This window comes from Homo sapiens, chromosome 1, assembly GCF_000001405.40.
Source record: "Homo sapiens chromosome 1, GRCh38.p14 Primary Assembly".
Taxonomy (NCBI): domain Eukaryota; kingdom Metazoa; phylum Chordata; class Mammalia; order Primates; family Hominidae; genus Homo; species Homo sapiens.
The window spans coordinates 204,760,196-204,770,407 of NC_000001.11; positions in this window are offsets into that span (position 1 = coordinate 204,760,196).

The window sequence follows — 10,212 nt, forward strand, 5'->3', positions numbered from 1 at the left end:
GGAACATTTATAGAGCACTTATTATGTGCCAGACCAGGTTAAATTTTATGGGAACAGACTATAAGACAGTGTCCCTCCATTCTGGATGGTGAACATCTAGCTTGGAAGACAGATGGGTAAAGAAATAGCTGTGATGTTATTCTGCATTTGATGTGTGCTAACAGAGGAGTGTACAATGGAAAGGGCATTCCAGGCAGAAGGAAGAGTTTGAACAAGTGCCTGGAGGCATGAAAATCAATTGGAGAATGTATCAGGTAGGCATAGGCTTGGCAGCCAACAATAGAGAACTCAAAATAGCAGTGACTTAAGTAAGCTAGAGGTTTATTTCTTTCATACACAAGAGAAGTGCAGAGCTAGGCAGCCCGGGGCTGGTGTGGTAGGTAGTTCCTGAGTCATGAGGAACCCAGGCAATGCAAGATGACTGCTTAGAGCACGGACTCCAGAGTCACACTGGCCTGAGTTTTAGTCCTTTCTCAGGCCATGAGATTTTGAGGAAGTTACCTTTCCTCTCTGCTTCCTCATCTGTAAAATGAGGATAATAAAAGTATCTATCTTTGAGGACTGCTCTGAGGATTAAATGATTTAATAAAGGAAATGCGTTTTGAACAGAACCTGGTGCAAAATGGTGCCATATATATTTTAATATTCCGCTTTTCTGCTCCACATCCTTAGCACATGGCTTTCATTCTCAAGGTCATCTCACGGTCCAGAATGGCTGCAGGAGCTCCAGCCAACACATCCCAGTTCTGGGCAGCAGAAATAAGAAAGGGAGAGAAGGACAAAGGCCCCTCCCTTCAGCTGAGTCAGTTTCCTTTAAACAGCTTTTCAGAAGTCTCACATTTCACTTCTGTTTAGACATCACTGCCAGAACTTAATTGCATGGCCTCCTGTTTCACAAAGGCTTGGAATCATGGTCTTTTAGCTAGATTCTCTTAGAAAGAAAGAATGGAGATGGATTTTGATTGGCAATTTGCAGTCACTGCCACAGGAAATAATAGATAAGCTCTAATAGTTGGGCTCCACCTTAGGGGTTTAGGGTGAGGTCGCAGGAGATGAGGCTCAGACAAAATTGTGGCTAGCCTTGTCTGCCATATCAGAGATGCGAGGGATCTCAACCTCAGTAGGGAACTGAGCTTGGAGCTATTTTCTGGCAAGTCATCAGAATACAGGTAGTATTTGGAGCAATGGGGGAGTTGAAGATCCCTTAAGTATCACAGGCAGGAGTGAGAAGAGAGATGAGGAAAGAGGTGTATTCAGGTTCTAACATCACAGAGTGCCTGCCTAGGGGCAGGGATTCAATTTCTGATTGGTGAAGGGCAAGTATGTGAAAAAGGTGCCATCCTTTGAAAACTGTCTCCCCACATCTTACAGTACTGCTGCTGCTTTTTTTTCCTCTTACAACAATTGTGAAATCTTTTAACAGATTTTCATCAGTCTTAATATTGACATGCAATATATTACTTTAAAAAATGAAAGGTGCTACTTTTCAGGAATATTCTCTCTTGCACTTCCCTCACTCCCAATGAAGACAGAAGCTTGGAGAACACCAGCATCTAGAGGAGAGGAAAAAGAGGGGTTAATGCATGTGGTTAGGACTCTGAGCACTCAGCTTACTGGTTATGTTTACAGAAAACACCTGTATTCTGCACAAGTTTGCTAAGCATGGGGGTGGAATGGGCCAGGTATGCCCGCATTCATCCTAGCTGTGGTTGATGGCAGAGTGGTCATCCAGTTGGAGACCCTCTGGAAACCAGGCCTACATTTGATGCTCTACTTTTATGCTCAGGGTCCTAGGACCCTCCCCATTCTTTGAGAAGTAGCAATCACTTACTGACAACACTGGCAGCTTCTCTGCTGAGCCCTTTGTAGGATAAAAGGTCGGGTCAACTTTTCTCCAGGAGCTGAAATTCTTTGTCCTCAGAGCACTGCTCCTGACCTGGCATCCCCTGCTGCCTTCACCCAGGACAGCAGACAGACTAGCCAGGATGATGCAAGCAGGGTATCCAAGCTACATTTAAGTTCAGGGAGATGGAGATACATCAAGGAGATGGAGTGTATTCATTGTCTATTGCCGCATATCTATTTACCCCCAAATTGAGTAGCTTAAGATAAAAATAAGGAACATACATAATAAAAAATAAATAAACACAGTGTGTGGGGGTCAGGAATCTAGGAGAGGCTTGGCAGGGCAGTTCAGGCTTGTAGTGTCTCAGGAGATTGCACTCCAGGTGTAGGCTGGGCTGCAGTCATCTGAAGGCTTGATTGGGGCTGGAGGAGCCACTTCCAAGGTGGCTTACTTATATAATGGGCGTGATGGTGCTGGCTGTTGGCAAGGAGACCCAGTTCCTCTCCTCATGGACCTCTTCGGAGGATGCTTGAGTGTCCTCATGACATGGTCACTGGCTTCCCCCAGGGTGAGAGACCCAGGAGAAAGAGATTCAGGCAGAGGCTATCCTTTTTATGATCTAGCCTCAGAAGTCACATGGCTTCACTTCCACCACATTCTATTCTTTAGAGAGAAGTCTGGCTCACATTCAAGGGGAGGAGAATAGGCTGCACCTTTTAAAGAAAAATGTATTTTAAAAGTTTGCAGAAAAATGTAAAAACCATAATATAGGGATTGGACCTTGGGAAGCCTGAGATGAAGCAGGCCAGAGGTAGAATCAGAAAGGAGACTTACAAACTTCACCCTCAAGCCTCTAGGACTTTAAAGACAACGGTGGAAAATTATGTTGGGTTGGGTTGTCACTGGAGGATCCTGTGATCTAATACAGAAATTTCCACATGCCAGGTGGCTCTGATGTTGTCTCAGTAAGGCCTCTATTTAGTTAATGCTAATGCTCCAAAGCCCCCAGATTACAAATTGGTATTGCTGTCGAGATCTATTGCTTTCTTACTAGAAGGTGGCTTCTTCTGGTATGGAAAGGGAAACTAAAGCCTGGAGAGGTTAAGCAATTTGACTTCTAGTCCTTTATTGAGGCACAGGCAGTGGTGGGGAGGGTCCTGAGTCAGGCAGTCTAACCACTGACCTCTATACCCCATCTCTCCAAACCACAGTATCTCTCTCCTGATGCTCTGAGAAGCTAGCATTTGTGGGAAACTTCCAATATGCCCACAGTGTGCTGAGTGCTTTTATGTCATTTTATTCTCCTAACCACCCACTATGGTAGGTATGGAATCCCCCATTTTACTGATGAGGAAACTGAGGCAATGTATAACAGGTATAAGTAGCCCAAGGTTATTCAGGCACTAATGTGTAAGGCTGTGATTCTAAGGCAGACTGACTGACTACAAAGCTAATGTTCTTAATCCCTAGATGCTCCCACCTTCCAAATGTCCTGGCTCCTAGAATTACATCTGTTCTACTCCCTCCATGGCTCCATGGAACCTGGACATCTCAATTTCCTCCCCAAAAGCTGGAGTTCTCCAAGATGCAGAAGCCAGAGGGCTGATGTTCCTGTGCAGGAAGAAGCAACGCCCAGGCCCACTGCCCCCACTCTCTCAGCAGATTCTCATTTTCAGAATCCTGGAAACCAGAGCTAGAAATCTGCCTCCCTCTGTTTACCCTGAGTTCCAATGTCACCAACCCCCTTAATTAATGCTAGGGTGCTGGGTCATGCATAGCACGGTCAGCTTGGTCTCCAGTTCTGGCAGCAGCTGCAGCCAAGGTCAAGAACAACGGGGGCTGGGTTAGCTCTTACTCATCCACCTAAATGCCACTGCCCACGCTCTCCGCTCTCGCCCCTCCCGCTGAGCAGTGGCTGCCAGGGCGGCAGGAAGTCCTTCTTCCTGGGCCTGGCGCCCTCCAGCGGTGGGCGCAGAGCACTAGGCTCCAAAACTAGGAAGCCGGCTCAGCCTGCAGCAGGGCAGCTTGGGCAGCTTCACACCTAAACCAGCCTCTAAACGGGCGCACCTGGACAAAACCCAGTAATTTAGAAAAGCCTGTGTTTCTAGACATCTCGCACTGCCAGCATTCTCCATGAGAAAGGAGCTAATAGGATCAACTTTTCCTATACGCTGGAGACTTAATGAGTCCCTCACCGACCCAAGGCTGACCTGTAATCTGACAGATGACCACGAAAAAGAGGCAATTTCAAGCCTAAAGAAAGGACCCCATTATGTTGACATTTAGGCATGAGTGTGGGTGGCATTGGGGCAGGAGTCCTATGTGCTGCTCAAATCCCACCGTAGAGTCAACTGGCAGTGTGGCCTCTGTCTGACACAGCTCAGGCTCTCCTGCTCCGAGGGAGTTTAGCAGAAGGTCCCTTACCCCACCCAGTTCTGCAGCCCCTCTGAGAAGTCACATAGCTGATGCCCATGGGGGCTGGCGGTGTGCCTTCTCACACCTCTCACATTGCCTGTGGTTCCAGGAGCCAGCTGCGTTTAGTCTGATCTCTGTTTGTGCCAGTTGTACTCTTTTGTAATCACATATTTTTAATTAAATACTATATAACTTGATGAAATACAAGTAAAAAGAATTGTTTCTTTAAAATTTTTTTATTTTAATTTTTGTGGCTACATAGTAGGTGTATATATTTATGGGGTACGTGAGATGTTTCGATACAGGCATGCAATGTGGAATAATCGCATCACATAAAATTGGGTATCCATCCCCTCAAGCATTTATCCTTTATATCACAGGCAATCCAGTTATACTCTTTTAGTTATTTAAAAATATACAATTAAATAATTACTGACAAGAATTGGGTCTATAAAATTAGTCTGAATACTTTGGAAAGAGCCTCTACAGGCAATTTATCTTTAAAAAAAAAGAGTAAAACGTTTTCTATTGAGGTGTGGTTGAATTGTCTGTAAAAGATTAGTGGGAGTAGCAGTGGGGGAGGGGAATTATAAAAATCCCAAGGACTCTGCATTCAGGTTGCTACACAAGTGTTTTCTTTCTTTTATATATATATAATACTTTAAGTTCTAGGGTACATGTGCACAACGTGCAGGTTTGTTACATATGTATACATGTGCCATGTTGGTGTGCTGCACCCATTAACTCGTCATTTACATTAGGTGTATCTCCTAATGCTATCCCTCCCTACACAAGCGTTTTCAAGTTGCTGGGTAGAATAAAAATGAATCTCAGCTGATGTATTATGGGTACAGTTTATGAAAGAAAGATGAGGGGAAGGAAAGTGCATCTATACTAACAAAAAGGTCACGGTCTGACATCAAGAAATTAGCAAATGCCCATTTATAATTTTCAAGGCAATGTTTAAGGTAGGCAATATTTTTTGCATATGTAGATGGCAGCCTGTGCTTACAGAGCCTAACGAGGGAAGAGGCCACGGCAACCCCAAAGTCTAATTAGAAAATCAATGCATCCAGCCCTAACTGACAACGCTAATCATCTCTTTGAACTAAAGTGTCCTAGCTGCACTAGAATCATTAGAGCCTGTCAGCAAAAGATAAGAGTTTAAGATTTCCGCAAGGAAACAGGGTTTTTTACTCAGCAGACCTGGACTTAATCAATATTTCCAATATCATGACCCACGACCTTCCTCCAATTAACAAATGCTTATGCTTGGTAATAGACTTCACACTCTGGACTCCTGATGGCTTTGCCTGCTGTGAGGCTGCATCCCTCTGGACCTGCATGGCCATCTTGGTGCCTACAACTGAGTAGTGCAATGAGGTTGGAAGAAAACTTTACCAGGGAACCTGCTTTTACTGTAAATTCTTGACCACAGCCCTCAGATTGGCATCCAATACTGCCTGGTAATTGCATTATGTTTGTTTTCTGGGGAAAAGTTTAGCACTGTAGGAGATGACTATTTGATACCTTTTCTTCTCACTCCAAGCTTCTCACCTCTGTTCCTTCACTGCTTACTCTCCTGGAACAAGAGAAGCCATCTGACATGCACTGTCTCATCTTTCTCAAACTTTGTCCCTTTTCTCCACTCTTCGCTTTCTCTTGCCTTTCTGTTACAATCAAGAAAGTGCCATGAGGGCAGGGACCATGTCTGTGTTATCTTCAATACCTAGCCCAGTGCCTGGCACTTAGAGGGCTCTCAAAATTGATGAATGAACAATATGGCATCTGCTAATAATATGGCATGACTTATCAGGTCACTCAATTGTTTATGATCTTCGGGAGGAGAGGAGGGAAGACCATAGCACGTTGACTTCAGTATCCCAGATAATAAATAAAAATGGACTCAGTGCTGTCTTCATCATTTATGGATGCTGTACTCAGCTCGCCTTTCCAGGCTCACTCAAGCTTTATTTCATCTGTCACTGTGTTTGTGTGTGCTTCTCCCACAAGGCTGTGCTCTGTATGTCTGGATCCTCAGCATGTAGCAGTACAATGCTTGACACATACAGAGGTGGGGGCTCTGTGAAAGAGAGATGAATTGTTGAGTGTCCCCAAACCCTACAAGTCACTCTGGATTCCTTCTTTTGCTGCTCTTCTCACGTCCAATCCATGAGCAGACCCATTCACTTTTTATCTCTATGCAGGATCAGCACACTTTTTCTTATAGGCATGTGGAACATGGTCTCCATTGCAACTACTCAGCCCTACCATTATGGTATGAAAGCAGCCACAGACAACGTATCAATGAATGGGCATGGCTGTGTTCCAATAAAGCTCTATTTACAAAAACAGGTATGCGGTCCGGCGCAGTGGCTCATGCCTGTAGTTCCAGCTACTCAGGAGGCTGAGGCAGGTGGATGGCTTGAACTCAGGAGTTTGAAACCAGCCTGAGCAACATGGTGAAATGCTGTCATTACAAAAAAAAAATAAATAAAGAAACAAAAATAAACAAAGCAAAACAAAACAAAACAAAAAAGCAAAAATTAGCCAGATGTGGTTGTGTGAAACTGTAGTCCCAGCTACTCAGGAGGCTGAGGTGGGAGAATTACTTGAACCCAGGAGGTCGAGGTTGTAGTGAGCCATGATTGTACCACTGCACTCCAGCCTGATTGACAGGGTGGGGCATTGTCTCAAACAAACAAACAAACACAAAAACAAACAAACAAAACAGGTATGAATGGGATTTGGCCCCGTTTGCAGATCCCTGCTCTATAGTACTGCTTATCTCAAAACTGTTGTTAGCAGAAGAAAATAATTTTGGGAAATGAAGTCATCCTCAGTGTCTTCATTCTCTCCCAAAAGTAACAGGGGAAGGGTTATTTAGCCTTACATGGTCATGGGTATGTGCTTAAATTTAGAGGGGGATCTTCCCTTCACAGGTCAAATAAGCTCTTTCCCTGGCCCACGAATAGGTCTCCCATACCCTTCTTCCCTGATGGGCTTATGTATTCTAGACACAAAAGTTGGTGCCCAGTATTGCCACTTATTAACTGGGTGACCTTCCCTAAGTTGTTCAACCATTAAGATTCTGTCTTGTCTCATTTTCAAAGTTGGAGTAATATTGCTACTTTCCTCATTGAGTTGTCCCAACAGTTAAGAGTGATCATGCACGTACCTAAAATGCTTAGTACCGTGTCTGGCATAGAGCAAGCACTCCATAGCAGTTGTAGTGGTTATTATTATTATCATTACATATTGATATATATTTCTCCATATATAAACACAGCACAGCTCTGTGGTTAAAAGCATGGGCAATTGAGCCAGTCTGCCAAGGTTTGAAACCCACCACTTATTGATTGTGTGAACTTGGGGAAATTTCTTACTCAGTCTGCACCTCTGTTTATCTAACTTGTAAGGTTGTTATGAAGATTAAATGAGTTATTGTATATAAAGTGCTTTGAAAAGTACCTGGCAAACGGTAAGCACTGTGAAAGTGTTTGCTATCATCACCATCATCATTAACATCAACATCATCACCAGGACCAGGACAGAGTCCCAGAATCCCCTGGCCTTCAGCTGCCTTGGGGTCCAGGCATCATGTTAATTGCTCAACTCAAGGCGTTCTAGCATAAAGAGTCAGTGGACCCTCCTTCTTGCTTTGACAGCGTCTGAGCTCCCATGCCCTCCTATGCAGAGCAGGATTCAAAAGCTTCTTCCATTTTCCTTTCCATCTCCCGCCAAGAAAGCCTCTTCTTCTTTCCTGCCTGCTTTAAGCCGGTGGGTAGGGTACCCTCTCTCTCCATGCTTCTCTCCTCCCCTCAACCCTTCCCCCGAGGATATTTGTGTCCCTGATATTTATTTAGCTCCCATAATCAAACTGCTTGTGCTGTGATGATTGGAGTCATACACACTGAGTAAGAATAGAATTCGGTCATTAGCTTCCTTGAAGACCTTACTCACTACTACTGCTCACAGCCTGGCGTAGAGAGGATGGGGGATAAGGGGGTGGGGTTCACCCCTCTCCTGAATTCTTCCAGCATCCGCTGAAGTAGTTTACCCGCCTTGGCATTAAGTACTCAGACAACTGCCTCCTTTGCCCTTTATATCAGATGGACTCCGCTCCTACTGGCCGGTCTTTCTTTCTTCCTTTCTTCCTTCCTTTCTTTCTTTCTTTCTTTCTTTCTTTCTTTCTTTCTTTCTTTCTTCCTTCCTTCCTTCCTTCCTTCCTTCCTTCCTTTCTTTCTTTCTTTCTTTCCTTCCTTTCTTTCCTTTCTTTCTTTCTTTCTTTCCTTTCTATGTTTCTTTCTCTTTCTTTCTTTCTTTCTTTCTTTCTTTCTTTCTTTCTTTCTTTCCTTCTTTCTTTCCTTTCCTTCCTTTCTTTCTTTCTTTTTGAGATGGGCTCTCACTCTGTCTCCCAGGCTGGAGTGCAGTGGTGAGATGTCAGTTCACTGCAACCTCTGTTTCCCAGGCTCAAGTTATCCTCCCACTTCAGCCTCCTGAGTAGCTAGGATTACAGGCACATGCCACCATGCCTGGCTAATTTTTTGTATTTTTGGTACAGACGGGGTTTCACCATGTTGCCCTGGCTGTTCTTGAACTCCTGAGCTCAAGAGATCCCCCCACCTTGGCCTCCCAAAGTGCTGGGATCACAGGCGTGAGCCACTGCGCCTGGCCCCTACTGATTTAGAGTCTCCATTGTGAAATCTGTGATACTCCCACTATTCATGGGGGCTGAGCATCTTTTAAAGGTCAATGGATGCTCTTTAATTTTTACAGGTTTCTGGAGACATCTCCAAGTGATCCATGTGGCCTGATTAAGGTCAGCATGAGAGCAGTAGTTGGACTACTTCAGGCATCGGTGGAAGAAAAAAAAAACAGGATATAACACTGGATACATTCCCATTTTCCATTTTAAAACATTTAATTAGCGAATGGCATGGAAAACTCTTCTTCTTAGAAGGTATGAAATACTCCAGTTAGAGAAGAGTTAAAAGAAATACACCTCCATCGCACAAAATGAATGCTCTGTCATTAACAAAACTGTTATAAATTTCCTTTCTCTGAACAGTTGCTTGTTTATCTCTTCTCCCCACCTCCAGGCAGCCTTGGGCTTTTTCGAAGGTCTAACGCAGTTCGTGTGCAGTTTCTGCTTAGATTACTGATGTCAATTATCTCCTCAGCACCTCTGCCTCTTTGTTCAGAACTCCAAGTCTCAGAGGTTGGCCCTATTTCCAACTTGCCCCAAGTAGCTCTGAACTTCTTTCTAAAAGAGGTACTCCTGCCAGTGTCTTCCCTCGGCTCTTTCTCCCTTGCCCACTCAGGTTCTTTCCTTTCAGTAAGAGAAATCTTCATTTTATCATATGACTTCTGAGGGAATCAGGACTTTCTTCCTTCTGAATAGCCATCAAACAAAACAGAACATGAATTAAACGAGCCTCTTCCCACTCGAAGAAGGAGCTGTGTGCTGTAAGAGCAAGAGCTGAGGCTTCTTGGTTAACAGGATGCACGGAGCAAATAGAAAAGAACTTTACCTCCCCAGCCCCCACCCCTCCCAAACACAAGGGGTCACGGATAAAACAGAACTAAAGAGAATTTGAAGACACAGCCATACTCAAAATTAAGAGAGAGAAGTCCCCAGTGCTTGAGAAAGAGAGCGAAAACTCAAAGTCAGGGTAGTCAGAGGTTGCTGAATCCAAAATGACTCATGGAATGATCAAATCAACTGGGGCTAGAGTTCCAATACCTGACTGGGGAGTGGAGTCTTGGCTGCAGGCCCCATGTGGTGGAGTTGAATGGTCATAAAGGTAAAGATCATGAGAACTGGTGTACCCATGAAACAAGAATAAGAAAAACCCCACAGGCCATCTTGGAAGTTGATGAGGAAAGTTTGATGTTCACTGTGGCCATGGGTATATAACAGGTCTCTACCAGTCCATTCTTGCACAGCT